The sequence below is a fragment of the Homo sapiens genome, chromosome 7 (genome assembly GCF_000001405.40).
Source record: "Homo sapiens chromosome 7, GRCh38.p14 Primary Assembly".
NCBI classification, from domain to species: Eukaryota; Metazoa; Chordata; class Mammalia; order Primates; family Hominidae; genus Homo; species Homo sapiens.
Genome location: NC_000007.14, coordinates 94,297,438 through 94,316,535, shown reverse-complemented (window position 1 = coordinate 94,316,535; position 19,098 = coordinate 94,297,438). Strand labels below are relative to the sequence as shown.

Genomic DNA, 19,098 nt, shown 5'->3' with positions numbered 1-19,098 from the left:
CAGCTTTCATGGAATTCATAATCCAGTAAGGAAGAAGGGCAATAAAACAAGAAAGTTTGATAAATGATGACATATGTTATACTAAGCTAAGTATAGGGGGCCACAGGGGCCCATAATGGGGGCTTCTCTCACTTGGTCTAGGGGATTGGGGAAGGCTTGATGGAGGAAGTGAGTTTCAAGTTGAGTCTGAAAGAAAAATAAGAGTTTTCAAGTGAAGTCAGGGTTTGGGTGGGGCAAGGAAAGGGGGAAAAAAGACAATATTCTAGGGAGAGGAACCGCATGTGTGAAGGCCAGAAGATAAAAGTTTCAGGCAATGTTCCAGAATCTCTATTGTCTTGGACATCAGGCTAAGGATGGCCTTTCCCATGAGAGGTTGTCTTCCTGTGTTTGTTGTCCGAATCATGCCTCATCCACATCATAAAGGTTTGCAAACTAGTTGCACTCCTTTCCATGCTCGTTGCTTGGTGAAACTCCATCAGAGGCCTAGGCCTAGGCTTAGGTGTAGCTTGGAAGGAGGAATGTGAGCAGAGTTCTACCTGGGGTCTGGTGGCCCTGCGGTGAAAAAGTTAGTGATTAAGAGCGCAGGCTCTGACTTAACAAAATCTCGGCTTGGAGTCTCAATTCTTCTATTTCCTAAATTTATATAAATGTAACATGGAAACATTAACAAAAAAAATTTTTCCTATAGATTTGTTATAACAAATTAATGAAAGAGATCCCTTGGTACAATTAAAGAAATCCCTTGGTACATTCTCAATAGGTATTGTTATTGTTATTCTTGTTGTTATAATTTCTTTCTCATCTGATCTGAAGAAGCAGAAGTGAGTTTAATCACAGTTACTGAAGAAAACTATCATTTCTTACTTTCTATTCTTTAGATTTATTTCAAAATCATGACATCTTTTTCCCAGCCATTAACTTCACTATTTCAGCCACAGGTGGTCCATAAGTTGCCCGATGTGTAGTTCTGAGTTAAAATCCCTGAGTGTGTGTTTATCACTAATTTTGGGGAATATTGGAATATTGGAAGCCCAAATCTAATTAACATCTGGTAAGGTGTGTACGTTTCCAACAGCATAAGGCTGGTAATGGCATACCCCTCAAATGTGAGAGAAGATGGAAAGCATGTCATTGAAGTTCTGTTAGTGATAGTCACAATGACATCTGCTTTTTAGACCTGGATGCTGTTTTCCTGGAACTGGGATTTAATGCATTATATATTTTTCTCTTCCTGGGGGAGAATAGTGAAAGCAGACCTAAAAATAAGCATAATCATGAAGGGCTGATTGTTTAAAAGGCAGAAAGGTCACGAAGATACAGGAAGGGAGAACCACAAGCTAGAATTACTAATTCTAAGCCCCAGTGGAAGATGAAGAGGCTCTTATTTACACATACTGGTCTCAAGTCTGAGACTACCCAAGATAAGAGGCATAAAGGTCCCCATTTCAAATTACCAGGCATCTGTAGCTAATGACTATATTCAGTTATAGTGCATATGGCAGGTGAATGTTCTCCTCTCCAACTTGTTCCTGCTATTATCCAGATAGCTACTCTTGTTTTTCATTTTTGCTTTTTTTCTTGCTAAAATCACAGAGCTGAGCAAAGTAGTAGCAAGCCATCGGGACCTGCTAATCAAATCTGAGAGACCAGGGCTCCAATCTAAGCTCATCATATGACTTAAGAGGCCCTCATTTAGACAGGATCTGAAAAGTCCCTTCTAAAGCCTTTACAAAGTGAGAATAATCTTCATTAAGTGCTACAGATTTCACAGAACAAAAATGGATTAGGGGCTTGTCACAGGAAAGATAATTAATGTGCTGGAGAGAAGTATAGGCAATGGAAAGAAAAATTTCTCCATAAGAAAAGAAAAAAAAATTACAACAGCCAGGGCGGATAATGATTAACGGTTAAGAAGCAGTTCCTGCTGGCTTCATTTTTACAGTATAATTAAGAGAGTGAGAGAGGTCGGGTGAGAAGAGACACATACACATGCACAAAAGGAAATAACTCACATACAGAAATACAATTTTAGAATTGAAAGGTACATCAATAGTTTTTGTTGGTACATTAATATTTATTCATCTCTTCTTAATGTAAAAATTCATCTTTTCTTGTGTTGAAGTCCTCCAAAACATCTTGCCAAATTGCCTTTCGATATATTCTTGCTGAAAATATTGTTGTGTATTGGGAAATTATTTTGAAATTATTTTCTAAGTTATTTTGTAGCTGAAGAAGTCTTAGGCGGCAATTTTTCTCTACTGTTTAATTCTGCTATCTTGCTTCTCATAGTTCGTGCTGCAATTGGTGTTATTTTAGGCCCTGAAGCAAATGGTTCTTTCCCCCTTTTCTAATTTCCTCCTTTCCAGACAGTGGGGCTTGGCTTTTTATCAAGGAATCAAATGCCCACCCTATGGGCCTTCTGGGACTTTTTCCAACCTAAATACATTTCTTTCCTGTGAATGTGTAATCATTTGCAAGTGAGTACACAGCTGAAAACCTGTTGATAGGAAATGCTAGAAGAGCCAGTTCTTTTTCTGTGGTGCCAAATGTATCTTGGATAAAAAGAATTAATAATTATGACTTGCTATTTACTTATAATTGCAATCAAAATTCAAGAGGAAAAAGGAGATTGCCCTTTCTTAGGTAGGGTGTCATATGATATCTGCACTTCAGTGGAATTGTACTGAATTCAGAATACAGTCCTAGGCTTTGAATTTCAATTAGATTCCATCCACTTGAAATATGGTTCCATGTTAAACACAAACAAAAAAATCTAAAAATGAGTATGATGGTCTAGCTTCATGGCTTACTGGGAGACAGAACCCAAAAGACCTCGTTGAAATGAAATGATCATTATACAGGATGTGTTAAAGTGCAACAGTGTACAGAGAAGAAGCTCTTAATTCTGCCTGGGATTGATTTCGTGTGGGTTTGGATTTCTTGGAGGAGGTGTGGTTGAAGTTAGTGCTTGAGGAATTGAGTAGGGTGTCACCTGGCAGAAAAGTGGGGAAAGGGCATTTCACTGCCATCAGAATTATCTTGTGAGATAAAAATGTGATAATGACATTCTATTGCTCCAAAGCTTCCAATAAACTCACTTTACTTACACAAAAAAAGCCCCAAATACTTAGAACTCATTATTTTAACACTCTTTCATAAATGCATGCTTAACAACATAATGTTTTTCTGGTGTCTTTGAGGGCAGGCTTAATGTGCAGAAAAGACTACTTGTGATTCTTTTGGATTTTCAAATTAATATTTGACTTATTACAGATATATTTTTTCCTCTGTCGTTTACATTCAACTTAGAAAAGCATATCTCAGCAATCACTTTCAAGCAGATCTTCAAAACCTAATTAATTAAAATTGCTTAAATATTTCTAACTGAATTTTTAAATTTAAAATACTTGATTTTTTAAGACCGTAAACTAAATAACAAATAAAATCTTTTAATTACTTAAGTGAATTTTAAGAAACACAATAAATTAAATTTTCGAGTATGATGACAGTTGTTTTTTTTTTAAATGCCTTGATACTACTTCTAAACTTAGGAAAATTCTCTTATGTCTTTGAAATTAAAGTGCAAAGTTTGACAAATTATCTAATTATATAATTTAAATGGGAATTGCAGAACTAATTTATTTGATGCTCCAATATGCCAAATTCTCTTATGCATTAAAAATATTAAAATACCAAATATATACATATGCTCCTATTTATAACTCCCAAGTTAATAATGTGGTTTTAGTTTACTTTATTATCTATGTATTTATTTCTAAATTCCCCAGGTTTATATGACATCCATTGTAGCAGAGACTGCTGGCTGCCATGTAGTTTCTAATCTCTTATTCTTTCTTAGTAACAAGATCTTGGTTTTGTTTAGAGTAACAGTAGGCCAGATAAATTACATTTCCCAAATTGTTTTGCATTTTGGGGTGCATATGAGACCAACATCTGGCCAGTGAAGTGGAAGTGTTGTGTGTGATTTCTAGGAGAGCTGTTTAAAGAGCAATGACTTATTGGTTATCAGGCTTTTTTTTTTTCCCCTTACCTTTTTGTTATCTCCTCTTTCTTCCAGTTGCCATCTTGAATCACAAAGTGATTTGAGGCTCCAAGCCATAATCCTGGATGGTGAAGTAGAAAATAGAAGGAATTTGAGTTCTTGATAAACATAGACCTTCTATGATATCTCTAAACTATTTGGAGTTTTCTTTCAAGAAAAAAAAAGGGTTATTTCTGTTTATTTGTTACATATAATCGAATCCAATCTGAGCCTGGTCGATCTACCAAGGGGATAGTTCTATCATTCCAAGCAATGTGCCTTTTCTATTTCAGTACACTGATGTTACTTATACATCAACTATATTAATTACTTATACTGTTGATAAATTTTATATGGAATTTCTACTAAATGCTTGATCTTGAATGTTTGACTTGACTCTTGCTCCTGACACTGAGGGGGCACACTGAATCCTATTTACACGCATTTTAACATGGGCTCTCTAATCTACAAAGAAACCCCAAATTAAATGTACCGTATTAGTCCGTTTTCATGCTGCTGTAAAGACATACCCAAGACTGGGTAATTTATAAAGATAAGAGGTTTAATTGACTCACAGTTCAGCATGGTTGGGGAGGCCTCGGGAAACTTATAATCATGGCAGAAGGGGAAGCAAATAATTCCTTCTTCAGATGATGACAGCAAGGAGAAGTGCAGAATGAATGGGGAAAGCCCCTTATAATAGCATCAGATCTCGTGAGAACTCACTCACTATCATGAGAACAGCATGAGGAAACTGTCCGCGTGATTCAATTACCGGCTATTGGGTCCCTCCCATGACACATGGGGATTATGAGCACTAAAGTTCAAGATGAGATTTGGGTGTGGACACAGCCAAACCATATAAGTTACCAGGTTACTTAATTCTGAAATGTGCTTTAAATCTTCAGTGTCCTGTCCAAGTTGCTTCACTGCCTGATATGATTCGAATAATATATTTACTGACAGATTCCATTAACAGTTCTTCCTGTCTAGTGGGATCATATTTCTTTAAAATATTTAAATGATATGTTATCATGGTCTGACTATTTCTTATGGATTCTTGGACCTATTATCAAATAGCAACCTATTTTTCTGGATGATCTCTTACCACCCTCCTTCTAATACACTGTGCTTTGACCTCGTGTTTCCCGAAGAGTATAAAACAGACCAGTAGTCTTATAAAGGTACACTATGGAAAGAAAAAGGGCATTAAAGAAATATCTCATTCTTCTTTTGAAAACTCACATGCACATTAGCATATTAAATGCTCAGAAAAGTCCTGTAGTAAAGATACCTATTTAATTTTACTCTGTCATTAACTACATTTGAGCTTAACCCCCTTTAGCTTCAAGAACTCTTACATCATAATCTGCAGAATTTAATGACAAGTGCAATTCTAGTGATTAAAAAACTCCTTGTTAGTTTCCAAACATCAAAGCTTTGCTTCTCCATTCCCTACTGCCTGAATTTCCTTTTACTCTTCTTGGTTCTTTCTTCTCACTCTTCTTTCAAGACCTAGACCCTGGCTCATCTGCTCAAATGAAACCTCTGACTCTTCAGTGTTGTTTGTTCCTGAATTTGGGCTCCAGATTAAGTATGCATGTGTCACTACCTGGGGAACTAGCCCTTTCTGCTTTAGTTTTTTTGTTTGCTCTTTGACTTCTCAACTTGATTGGGAACTCTTTGAAGACAAGGACCATCCACCACAGGGCTTGGTATTTCATGGGGTACTGAATTAAAATAAAAGTTTAATAAATGAAAGAGAAATTTAGTTCAATTAAATAAATCTGTATTCATTTATTTTTTCAGTCATTTCTTCACCCATTTTTTTCCCAAGAAATATACCTGTACATTGAATTCCTGCTTTATGCCAATCACTCTATTGTGTACCTGGAATAAAATGGTGAATAAGAAGAGGAATAATCCTTGCCTTCATGGAACTTATACAAGAGGTGCAGGGGGTCGGGGGGTGGCGGGGGGGAAGATAGAGAAACAGAGAGAGAGAGGGGCATTAATTTTTTAAAAATAAAGCAAATAAAAGATAAAATGAACTCTCTGGCAAGTGAATTGGAGGGAGACAGATACAGAGTAATTAATTGTAGTAGTCATCTAGCGCTGCCACAACGAAGTGCTGCAGACTGGGTAAATTAAACAGCAGGACTTTATTTTCTTACAATTCTGGAAGGTCGAACTCCAAGATTAAGGTGCTGGCAGGATTTGTTTCTTCTGAGGCCTCTGTCTTTGGCTTGTAGATGGCCACCTTCTCGCTGTGTCTTCACAGACCACCTCTCAGTCAGTGCATTGTCTGTGTCTTCATTTTCTATTCTTTTAAGGACACCAGTCATATTGGATTAGAGCCCACCCATACGATCTCATTTAACCTTACTTACCTCTTTAAAGGTCCTGTCTCCAAATACAATCACATTCTGTGGTACTGAGGATTAGGACCTCAGTGTATGAATTTGGAGGGATGCAATTCAGCTTGTAATAGCGCTATAGGAACTTGTAGAATTTTACCAAACTGTAGAGGTCAAGGATTGCTTCACAGAAGTGTTGAATAAACACAGATGTGAAGCATAGAAATGAAAAATTAAGACATGGGGTAGAGTAAGGTAGAGTTCAGGAGGAGAAAGTGGTGAGAACAAAGGCACATGGTGGACAGGGGGGCATGTGACAGGGTTCCTAGAGTGACAGAGCACCTGGTGAGAGGGATGGCCAGAGAGGAAGGTGGGCGAGACTGGACAGGTTCAGGGAGGTTAAAGATCCCCTTACTTATAAAGCAATGGAAATCCTTTGCATGTTTGAAACAAGGGTGGTATGATCAGATTTACATTTTGAAAAGGTCATAATGGTTGCAATTTGGAAAACAAGTTGGAGGAGTGCCGGAATCAACGGGGGAAAGAATATAGAGAAAAGAAAAGAAAAAAGGCAGGGGACTGGACCTGGAGGAGTGCCTGCATTTAATGGCTGGGGAAAGAAGAACGAGCCTGCTAACGTTTTCCAAGAAGCAGCCCTGAGAAGGAGATGAGAAAAAGATCAGTAGCTGGAGGAGGGCATGGGTTCAGGTTTTTAATTTTTTTATTGGAGAGGCATGAACATGTTTAAAAGTTGACAGCCAGCTGCTATGGAAAATAGTTTGGTGGTTCCTCAAAAAATTAAACATAAATTACCAGAAGACCCAGGAATTTTACTTCTAGGTATCCACCCAAAAGAATTGAAAATAAGGATTCGAACAAAAGTAGCACTGTTCACAGTAGCCAAAAGACAGAAACAACCCAAATGTCCTTTAGCTGATGAGCAAATAAAATGTGGTATATCCATACAATGAATAGTATTCAGTCATAAAAAATGAATGAAGTGGGCTGGGTGCAGTGGCTCATGCCTGTAATCCCAGCTCTTTGGGAGGACAAGGTGGATGGATCGTCTGAGGTCAGGAGTTTGAGACCAGCCTGGCCAACATGGTGAAACCCTGTCTCTACTAAAAACACAAAAATTAGCCAGGCGTGGTGGTGTGTGCCTGTAGTCCCAGCTACTCAGGAGGCTGAGGCAGGAGAATCACTTGAACCCGGGAGGCGGAGGTTGTAGTGAGCTGAGATCGCACCACTGCACTCCAGCCTGGGCAACAGAGTGAGACTCTGTCTCAAAAAAAAAAAAAAAAAGAGTGAAGTATCGATACATGCTACAACATGAGTGGACCTTGAGAATATGCTAAGTGAAAGAAGCCAGACATAAAAGGTCACATATTGCAGGATTCCAGTTATATGACATATCCAGAATAGGTAAATTCACGGGGACAGAAAGCAGATTAGTGGCTGCTAGAAGCTGTGGGGAAGTTAGAGGGGAATGATTGCTTAATGAATCTGGGGTTTCCTTTTGGGTGATAAAAATGTTTTTCATGGAACTAGGTGGAGGTGATGGTTGCCCAGCATCATAAATGTAATAAATGCCACTGAATTATACATTTCAAACTGGTTAAATTTATTTTCTATAAATTTTATGACATTAAAAAAAAGCTGCTGGGAAGATTCTGGGTGAAAAGCAGAGAGCAGTGTTAATAAAAAGTGACAAGTTTCTGATAACTTCTGAAGAAATAGAATTAAAGTAAAAGTGGAGAGATTTGCCTAAAATAAGTGTGGGATAGCTCCTTTATTGTAACAGGAAGGAAGGAAAAAAGAAAGATGGGCAGATATAGATGAGTTTGTGCATTTGCTATTGAGAAGTTGAGGAGAACCCATATTATAGCATGTATTTTCTCTGTGAATTAATGTGTGAGATCACCATATGCTGAGAGAAAAGGGGCTGCAGGATGAGTTAAAGATTTAAGGACAATTTTAATTTTTTTTTTTTTTTCTGAAAAAGTTATTGGAGAAAGTGAGAAAGTATAGACCAGAGATAAGTATTAAGAACTGGTTAGGCTCAGAGCCTGCTTGATATTGGGCTTTTGAATTTACAAAGGAATTTACCAAACTGCCATTTTATGTGATCCTCCATGCCCCCACCCACACACAACTATGTTTAGCTACTCAGGTGCAGGCATGGAGAAAGAGCTGGATAACCCAGGATTGGGGATTTGCTGGACTCATGTAACTAAAGATAGTATAGCAAGAGAGTTAAGATAATTGACAAGAGGGCTACTGAAACAATGAGTCATGCAATTAGGTTATCTCAGGAGGGAAATGAGGGAAAGAAAGAAACCGTTGATTAAGAGAAAATAGAGGGATCAATGCATTGGAAGTGCAGATAAGGTTGAATAAAGGCCAAGGGGTACCCAATCAACTACACTAAAAATAGAAGATATTATAAGAAGGTGATGCAAGAATTAATGATTTTGTTCGTGGGAACAGGTGAAATAGAGGAGATGACATGAATGAGGGACTACATTGGAATGAAGAAGAACCTGGAGGAGGTAAAAAAACTGAAGGCTCCGGATGTCGGGTGAGTCAGAGGGTTATCTGTGAAGGTATTGGTTTCATTCAGCCTTTTGACAGGACTTTAGTAGTAACCAAGTTGGGAGCTGGATGCCAAAGCCTTTGGCTAAAGAGAGGGAATAACAAAGTGGTGGCTTGGGTGCAAGTGGGATGGTTAAAGAGTAGTAAAGCCAAATGGAATGGTTCTGATGAGCAGTATTTGAGAAGACAGGTTGGAAGAATATTGAAGTAACAGGGAGTATCGGGCCGGGCGCAGTGGCTCATGCCTGTAATCCCAGCACTTTGGGAGGCCGAGGCGAGTGGATCACGAGGTCAAGAGATGGAGACCATCCTGGCCAACATGGTGAAATCCCCTCTCTACTAAAAATACAAAAAATTAGCCGGGCGTGGTGGCGAGCGCCTGTAGTCCCAGCTACTCGGGAGGCTGAGGCAGGAGAATGTTGTGAACCCGGGAAGCAGAGCTTGCCGTGAGCTGAGATCGCGCCACTGCACTCCAGCCTGGGTGACAGAGCAAGACTGCGTCTCAAAACAAAACAAAACAAAACAAAACAAAAAACACAGGAGAGCATTAACATTAGCTCCTGGCCCTAGAATAGTTGAAACCTGAGATAGACAATGACCCAGGAGTGTGTTGCATTGACCAGGTGATACATTTTAATTAATGCAGGAAGGAGGAGGAAACCCTTGAAAAGGGGGTTGAGTGTACTGAGTGTATCAATCAGGGACTGGTGGTCAAGAAGACGGGAATGATTCCAAGTCTTTCATACCATGGGAATTTAATTCAAGACATTGGTTACAAAGATTTTGGCAGGACTGGAAGATGAAAAGGTGAGAACTGAAACGGCTGAAGAATTATAAAGGGAAGGGTGGATTCTCAGTGATTGGAAGGTGCTCATGACCATAAACCAGCCCTTGCTATTATACTATGCTGCTGAGGAAACTGTCATAGCCAGTCCTGGACCCATCTCTGCCAGGGCTAGAACCACTAACAATGTGCTGCCCTGGATGGGCTGCTGGAGTCCAGAATTCTGACTCTTGCTTTCAGTACAATTGCCTACAACCAGAAGCAGGAAACTGTCCCCTCTCTCTCACCTTCTGATCTCCTACCATTGTCTTCTATTGGCAGAAGGAAGCAGTTGATAGGGGTTCTGAGAAAAGACGTTTGCAATTTTCCAGTCCCAGCAATGTAGATCCAAGGGGAGAAAGCTAGGTGTGGGCTGAAAGAAAATGCTGAGTAACTGGCAGGGGGAGGGCTTGCTGATTATGGATAAGCTATTCCAGAGGGCACAGGGAAGGGTTTGGACTATTATGTAGAGGTATTCACTGGGCCAGGGGCAATGTGTGAAGAATAATGGGAAGCATCTCCTATCTAACTCTCAGTTGAAGATCTGAGAAAATATAAAGAAATGAAAGAAAATTCCCCCAAGCTACCACCAACACCTCTACTAATAATGCATCCATAGGTCTACCTTCCCTCCTGTTACCATAGATGAGCTCACCATGCTTGTCAAGGAAGACCAGTCCTGTGCCCTCTCCCCTACTCAAGGACATCATGCTAGCAGTTGTTTCCTCATTCTTTAGCATCATGTATTTTTTCTTTCTCAATTGTATCATTCCCACCAGCATTCAGTCATGGTTTAGTTTTCACGTTTAAAAAAGAGATAGAAAGAAGGAAAGAAGCCCCTTTCTTGATTCCATTGTATTGTCTTCTGACTCCGTGATAACGAATAGTAACTCTATCTTTCCTGTTGTTCAGACCACAAACTTTGGAATCATTTTTCTTTCTTTTTTTCTCTCACTGCTGCCCCCGCCCTTTCCATTCTCTGCATCATTCTATTGATTGAATCCTGGCAGCTCTGTCTTGAAGGTACATCATCGAGAATCTCACTACTTCTTACCAGTTTTTTTGTTTGTTTGTTTGTTTGTTTTTTGAGACAGGGTCTCGCTTTGTTGTCCAGGCTGGAGTGCAGTGACATGATCATGGCTGGCTGTGGCCTTGACCTCCCAGGCTCAAACCATCCTCCCACTTTAGCCTCCCCCATAGCTGGGACTACAGGCATGTGCCACCATGCCCAGCTAATTTTTGTATTTTTTGTAGAGACAGGGTTTCACCACGTTGCCCAGGCGGGCCTTGAACTCCTGAGCTCAAGTGATCCTCCTGCCTCAGCCTCCCAGAGTGTTAGGATTACAGCCGTGAGTCACTGCTCCTGACCTGCTTACCACTTTTGCCACCACTGTTTTAGTCTATCTTATACGCAGCAGCCAGATGATCCTTTGAAAATGTTTTTTGGTCATGTCAGTTCTTTGCTCAAAGCCACCCAAAACTTTCCTATGTCACGTAGATTGAAGCCCAAAGTCAATTCAATCACTCGTAGGCCTCTGCAAGATGTGGAGTCTTCCCTTTGACTTTTCTGACCTTATGCTACTCCTCCCCTCACTCATTCTGCTCTAATCTCATTGGTGCCTTGCTGTTTCTGAAACATACTAGACACACCTCAGGGCCTTTGCACTTGCTGTTTCCTTCTCCTGAGATAGTCCTCCCAGTTACCCACATGACTGACTCACTTACTCCTTTTAGGTCTCTGCTCAAATGTCATCTCTGAGAGGTCTCTTTGACTAATCTACACAGAGGAGCAACTGCTTGCAACCTCTTAATATTGATCAACATCTGCCAGACCATCTATCTACTTGTTTATTTTTCCCTTGTTTTTCTTCCCCTACTAGAAGGTAAGGTTGAAGAGGACAGGGCCTTTGTTTTCATTTTGTTCTTTGCCATGTCTTGAGAAAGTGCCTAAAAGGTACATATTGAGTTGAATGAGTACATAAAAGCATGGAAGATAGATGGATAAATAGATGGATTGCATTTTGTGAAGAAGACACCAGACTAGTTTCCTGGCTCTGTTCTTCGGCTTTGGATACCAGCTCTGTGATTCCCTTGATACTTGTGGGAACTAGTGAGACCTACAAACTCTCAGGGGAGGCCATCATCACTTCATTCTGACCCCAGGCCTTTCTACTTTGATCCAAAGGGACTCACTTATATTTCTAGATTAAGCATTTTATTTTTTCACTTTTGAAAGTTTGAGGATTGTCTTTGTTTTCTTAGTTTTCTCCTGAGAAAGAACACAAACATGTTAATACTGATGAGGAAGAATCTCTTAATTCACGAAATGTTCTGATTTTTAGTACATTTCTCTTGGACTTGATGGCTGTTTTGGTTAGGAATGCGGCATTGAACTCCAAATTCTGAATATTATGCAGAAAAATCTACACTTCCGAATACATTGATTTATATCTGGTAGGAGCTTCTGAGGAGTGTGTTATTTTCCCCAAGCAGTGTACTTTTTTTTTTTAATCTCATAAAGGGCAGGATAATTTGCATTGCCATTTTAAGTTGTTTGGAAAATATGTTTATCTCTCTGTCTCTCTTTCTCCCTCTCTCTTTTATCACTTTGGTTGCTTTTGAGTATTAGTGAATTCTTCCCATGTCCATTAAAGATACGCGTGTGTGACAGAGTGACTGTGCTCCCCATTGCATGCCTGCCTCCTCCTCTTGGACACATGAATGAGGAGCTGGGAGGGAAAGGGTGCAGGCAGAGAGGAAGCAAGAAAGAGCAATAACCAAGACGGAAAGTATGCGTAAAGGCGGGGAGAGAGGCTGGAAGAAAGACGCTAGAAGAAATCTGAGAGGCCAGCTTCAGGGGTAGAGAGCAGCTGTACTGCATATTGCTTTCTGACAAATCAGTTGAAATGTTTCATAAAAGTCCTCAACCCTTTCATCAAATGCAGGGTTTTTGTTTTGTTTTGTCTTCTTTCTTCTGAAAAGCATATAAAGGAGTTGAGAATGCAATGTTTAATTAAGGGAAAAACGGTTCAGTTCCTGTGAGTAAATTAATTTCCACCTTTAGGCAACTTAGTGGAGTGTTTCCTAAGCCAAATGGAAGACTCTGGAAAATAAAGATCCCCAGTAGCTGATCCGATGAAAATAGATTAAGGTCTAGGATTTTTAGAGGAATGGACAGAAACATTTTTGGTCTTTGTAGTAAACCTGTTTTATATTGACTAAGCAAACCAAATCAGACAAATGGGCATACTTGGTCAATTCAATTTTCCAAGGCACGTCACCAGAGTTGCAAGGTGACTTGCAAGTGGTGGTGATCTAGAGACCCAGGGTGAAGAGGATTTCTGGGAATCTGGCTTGATATAATTATTCAAGTTGCTCCTTTTACTTGACGGCTCTGTGTAATTCAGGCCTGACATTTTGCTTTGTTTACACTGTATATTTGTATATGCTAAGGGAAACTTCATCTGCTAAATGATGTTAGCAGATGATTGGGAATAAACATTTAAAATGTTTGCTCCGGTGCTTTCCGTCTTGCTTATTTTGGAGGTGGGGGATGGTGCATTTTAAAACATGGGGCCATACTAGATATAGTTGGGGGATATGGTAATAAAAAGGACAGGAAACTGTCCCCACTAAGGGACATAAGAAATACAAGCAGTCACAATGGAGGTCAGACATTGGCAAGGCCATCTATATAAGAAAATTCAGATGAAGGAACTTATGCAGATGTCATTATTTGCTAGCTTTTAGAGAATGAGTAGGGTGGGGGAGTAGGGAGTCATTTCAGAAAGAGGAACATAGCATGAGAGAAGTTATGGGAAGTAAATAGATGGATTTAGCTGGCTCCAAGTTCATAAGAACGTTTAAGTATGAGAAAAAAACAAACACAAACAAGAAAGGTTGTAACCAGATCACTAAATGCTGACTTCCAGGTTAAAGAGTTGGTTGGAGAAAGCAAACCCTTGGAAATATCCTCAGGAGGGAAAGGAAATCAATAGTACATTGCAATGGCTTCTGAATCTTTTCATATTATCTAATACTTTCATCTGTGGGTAAATTTGTTGCAAGGTTCACAAGATTAACTGAAGAAGTTTACACTGTTATAAAAAAACTAGAAAGTTGTTAAAAGTTACTTCTTAGATTGCGTCTTTTAATTAAGAATAAATTATTAGCAGATCTTTGTTGTCTTAGTGTTTCAACCTTAAAATAGGTAACAGAACATGAACCAAGTAAATATCAATGTCAGTTTACAAGTTTGTATTGCACTAAACTGTTATGAAGCAAAACAACTAAACTTTAATTTCTGCTTTCAGGAAAACTTTTTACTTATGTAACTAATCTATCAATTCATGTCATACTAGATTTGGGGTACAAATTAAGGTTATGCTTCACTTAGTTTTCATTAACACCGTTTCTTTGTATTTAAACAGGCTACTCCTTTTTTTCCATTTCTTTCTGATACATTATGCATATTTAAACAAACAGAACAGAAACATTTAGAAATAAAAGTATGTGATGGTTTTCCCACACCAGTGTAAGCATAGGATGGTGGATTCCATTGAAAAGTCTGAGTTTTTGGGCTTGGGTGGATGAGGGATTGGGAAGACGGATCAACTCCTCAGAGCTAGAGTTCTTTTCAAGTGTGGCAGTCAGGGACACAGACTCCTCCTCCTCCTTTTCAATGGCCCAGTTTTAGAGTTGGGTTGCTACTGCTGTCTGTAACTGTTATCTAAGAAGTTTCAAAGGTATCTACATTTAGTTTTGTTGGCTTTTTGAACATTTCTTTAAAACTTGTCCTTGGGAAAGTTAGCAAGTTTGGAAGCTGCCCAAAAATCTGGAACTGGGGGAGGGAGAAGGAACTTTGTTTTGATTGTTCTTTTACTTCATTGTCTGGCTCTCCCTCCACGCCCCCTATCTCTGTCCCTCTTCCCCATTCCTCCCTCTCTTCCTCTGCTTCCTCCTCCTCCTTCTCCTTCTCCTCCTCCTCCCTCTCTCTCTCTCTCTCTCTCTCTCTCTCTCTCTCACACACACACACACACACACACACACACACACACACATTTTTGGAGGAGAGCTGCAGTTCCTCACACAATTTCCCTTCTCATCCGTCTTGAAACATTTCGTTTTCCCCAAACCTGAGACAACAATACGATGATGTATAGTATGGATGTGTGTGCATGCACGTGTGTATGTGTGTGTGTGTTTGGTCTGTGCTGTGGAAGGACTGAAAAGAGAGTTGACTGGGGCTTCTCCTCCAGGCCTCAATCTGGCATTAGTCCATTTCTCTCTTTTCCCTAGGTGGTCTTAGATGATGGGGGGAGGAAAAAGTTTTGCTGTGTCATGAATTACGCTTTTAATTTCCACAGGCTTTAGAACATTCTGGCCCTCTCAGTGAAAAACACTTGTGGCCTCAGAGCTTGGAGGTTGGAAGTGGGGGAAATATTCCCTTCAGGCCCTGTGATGACTTTTCACAGTGGAAGGCTGCAGGGCTCTCACAGGGGGAGATTCCATTTGTCTGAGCCTGCAGAGTGTGAGTCACTGCCCAGGGAGGGCAGAGTTCAGCCCGAGGAGCTAGTGAGCCCCTGCTGCCTTAAAGGCACAATGCAGGGATACCGCTGAAGGGAGGGGAAAGTGCTAGCCACCAAGCGACTGGGCTAGTCCTCAGTAATTTCTAGCTGCATTATTTATGTGGGGGTCATTAGGAAACCTAAATTTCAGTGAAAAGTCAATCGTTTACTCAAATTTCCCTGTACAGAACAGAGAAACACATACTGGATTTTACAAGCCTTTGTGAAATTGAGGTCACCTGCATCATCCACATGGAGAACAAGAATATTTATTGTGTGATTAAAGTTCTGATCCATAGGGGGAGGAAAATCATTTGCATGTCACAATTTTTTCCGCCTCCTTAATTTTCAACCCACTCACCTCATAAATTAACAACAGGTAGCATCAATCTCTCTTCAAAATATGTAAGACACTTGTAACCTTGATGGGGCAGGGGGGCTCTTCGGGTTTCACCAGCTGGTGAGAACAGGTGTTGTCATTAACTTGAACACCCACATCTTGAAGTCCAAGACTCTGCTTGCCTGGCTGCAGGAAGTCCAATGTGTTAGAGAATCCTACTCTAGATGCATTTCCAGGGAGTGTGTACGTATACTTATAAATCCTTTCTTGTCCTTTCTTGCTGAGATGACCCCTAAGTTACCCAGCAGCCTAGGGCCTTGACAGACCCAGAAATGCCTTTTGCACTTGCCATTCTGACTGCATGCATCCTGGGCATTGCTACCAGGATTTGGACATACTGCCACTGCCATGATTCGCGTTGGAGGAGCTAGAACTCAGGGACACTCCCACACAGGAACTATTATACTGTCACTAACCTGCGGCCACTCCTCGGAAGCGGAAAGATGCCAGTTATTTCTGTGATCTGTTCAGTTTATGGGTGGGGGTGGGACAGATTATTTTCCCCTGTACTTGACAGGTTTTAGATATGTATGAAGAAGTAACTTATATTTAACATTTTTATTGGAGAAACTTTGATGTGTACTTCAATTTACTAGCTATCACCTTTAAAACTCTTTGACATGCAGAAATTTTCTGGTTGATTTTTCATTGTCTTTTGAAGGTTGACTCATTTAGAAATGACGTGACATTTGCATTTGAAATCAGTACTGTATTTATTTCATTGTTCCGAGCCTTTCCAAATAAATCTGTGTGTTTTTTTCGTAGGATAATTGTGAGAAAAATAATAATGTAACAACCGTTTAGGACTCTGTGGGTTATTCATAGTTCACAACGCTTCCAACTTCAATCTTCACAAACTTTGTTTGGAATAGCAAAATGACCATGTTCCACAAAAGGAAATATTGTACTCCAGTACCATGGCCGGAACAAGATTAATAATAGTAACAGTAAAAAAATTAAGAACAAGCAACATAATTTTGCCAATGTTTCTTCATTCCTAATATCTTTAATAAAGAAAAATAATAAAACTGATCTTAAATGTGGAGAAATTAAAAGCTTCATCATGAAGATAAATGCATGGAGGGCAGGAAGGGCTGAGACTGGTTGAAGTTCTTTAAGTTGTGGTTTAAGATTAACATAAGGACACATACTACACTACAATTTTTAAAAAGCTGCTATGAGTAATAATATTCTTGATATATAGCATGGACACTGTATCCAAGATATTTTCTATTATCCTTATACTTGATACCCACTTAGATTGCTATATGTAGAATTTAGACTACCATTGATCAAAGAGAGAAAAGTTGGAAATAAAAACTGCAATGCCATTCAAAGTCCCAAATCGCAGCCACTGTAATTTATCTAAACTCAAAATATAGGAAGGAAAGACTGTCATATAGTGAACTTTTATTGACTGCCTACTGTTTGTCACACACTTTTCTGTTTCTTTACCTGAATTTAGTCACTTATACATCCCAACAGCTCCTTGAGGTAATGGACAGTGAAACGGGCCCAGCAAGTTTAAGAAGTTTGCCCCAAACCCGGAGCTAGATGGTGGAGGGCTGGGATACAGATCACAGCTGTCTCGTTTGGGAGCTTGCATTCTGAATCACCATGGATGCCTTTTGGATGTGAAATGTGCCTGAATGATGAAAGCTGAGCAGAGAAAAGAACTGAAGGTCATAATAATCTCCTAACAGAGAAAGCATGTCTTAGAGAACCAAAGACTTTGTACTGCAAACATCTTGTTTTACAGGTGGAGAAACTGTAGCCAAAGCAGCTCAGATGAGTTTGTGAAGGTTACTTACAGCTTGCTAATGGCAGAAGGAAGACTGGAGATGAAGTGGATTTTCCTGACATTCATTAATTCCACCAACATTTATTGTCCCAAGCACTTTTTTAGGTATTAAAGAGAAAGAACAAGACAGATCAGGTCCCTGCTGGTAGGAATATTACACCATGACCAGAACAGTGATTTGACATTTGAATAGACAACTAAGTGGAACACCCACACTAAAGTATTAGAAAGTGGGATGGGCTATGGGCAGGGGAAGGGGAGAGGCTTTATATACATTCTACTCCATTTTATAGATGAATTCACTAATGTTCAGTGGCATTAAATAACATGTCTAATTCATAAATGTTAGACACAAGATTCAAACCTTCACAGTAGAGAGAGAGAGAGAGAGAGAGAGGAGTAAGAGAATAAGAAGGACATCACAACCTCCTGGTTAGGGAGTAGCTCTTAACATGAATCAATAAATCTGGTTGGAGCAAGGTGTCTAGTTAGATTGTCAGATTTCCGGGAACCAGAGATACCCGTTTTTTGGCAGAACCTAGACAGCCAGAAGAAGCCTCCTACCTTGTTCTTCATGCTTAATTTCTTTAGAAAGTCAAACTCATGGATGAGCATTTGGCTCAAGTTCTTCAGCTCCAGGTCAGGGAATCTGTGACGTTAGGGAATATCTACCACTCTGGTAGCTGCAGAGGAGATGCAGAAACACTGGAGCTGGGGACAAGCATGCCACCTCCAAAAATTAAAAAGAAAAGAGTTTATCATATAGGTGTGTGAAGATTCATTTTACTGAGAAAGGTCAATTCAGCTGTGCCCCTTCTATATAGCTCCTTGGAGAGAATTAGCAAAGGCAGTCCCTTTAGGTGGAATTATTAGAATAAAGTATCCATCTCTGAAGGAAATTTGTAAAAGCATCCCTCCAAAAGTCTCCCCATTTGACTGTCAAATTAGAAAAGGAGCCCCATCAGGCAGCCCTGGGTCAGGTTTCTTGGATGGGTGGGCTGCACCACTGCTTAGTTTCCTGGTCCCTAATACTTTAAGGAGCCGGATGGGAGTGAGATCTGAACAACTCACTCTCACTTTCTACAATTCTGTAAGGGTAGGGAGTAGGAACTAGAATGGGGTGCTTTTTTTCCCTGTGAGAATTGCTATCGATCCTGTGGAGGGTTTCTCAGCCAGGAGACTCCATCACTCTGGCCTCTCTGAACTCAGAGCTCACTCACCTCCCTTTCGAAGCTAACGTGGCAGAGCTGGCTGGGAGGTGGTTACTGGCTCAGGGCCCTGAAACACTGAGTAATTCCTATGATGGCTGGGACTGGAGACACCATTCCAGACACTTCCACGTTGTCTAAAAGCAAAAAAAAAAAAAAAAAAAAAAAAAAAGTCTCCACCACCCAGCCCAAACGGTTAGAGGCAGATTCCTTGGTGCTGAAACAAGACCTATCCCTTTTATGGAAGGCCATTGCTGGAAATTTCCACCATAGAGGAAAGCCAGGGTTCTTTTTCTATTTTTTACAGA

General features: G+C 40.0%; 2 long non-coding RNA genes across 3 annotated transcripts in view, besides 1 other annotated feature; one reads left to right on the top strand and one right to left on the bottom strand.

Moving 5' to 3' along the window:
• LOC107986821 (uncharacterized) overlaps positions 1-5,401 on the bottom strand; it is a 35,929-nt gene extending 30,528 nt beyond the window's left edge. The window contains exons 1-3 of one of the 2 annotated variants that reach the window (XR_001745276.2): positions 5,288-5,375; positions 4,052-4,124; positions 2,926-2,992 (exon numbers count right to left, since the gene is read on the bottom strand). This is a non-coding gene — a long non-coding RNA (uncharacterized LOC107986821). Of the gene's footprint in view, positions 1-2,925; positions 2,993-4,051; positions 4,125-5,287 lie in introns of those variants that run through there. The other variant, XR_001745275.2, reaches the window with a different exon arrangement.
• LOC112267858 (uncharacterized) overlaps positions 1-19,098 on the top strand; it is an 84,173-nt gene that overhangs the window by 44,164 nt on the left and 20,911 nt on the right. The window contains exon 2 of the long non-coding RNA XR_001745273.2: positions 8,887-8,977. This is a non-coding gene — a long non-coding RNA (uncharacterized LOC112267858). The remainder of the gene's footprint in view (positions 1-8,886; positions 8,978-19,098) is intronic.
• Positions 15,081-16,280: an enhancer, noted in NCBI's record as "CDK7 strongly-dependent group 2 enhancer chr7:93929568-93930767 (GRCh37/hg19 assembly coordinates)". NCBI's record gives its function as "activates an origin of replication core promoter dependent on BRD2, BRD4, P300/CBP, MED14 and CDK7 cofactors, with strong dependence on CDK7, by STARR-seq in HCT116 cells {active_cell/tissue: HCT116}" and the evidence as "EXISTENCE:reporter gene assay evidence [ECO:0000049][PMID:35650434]".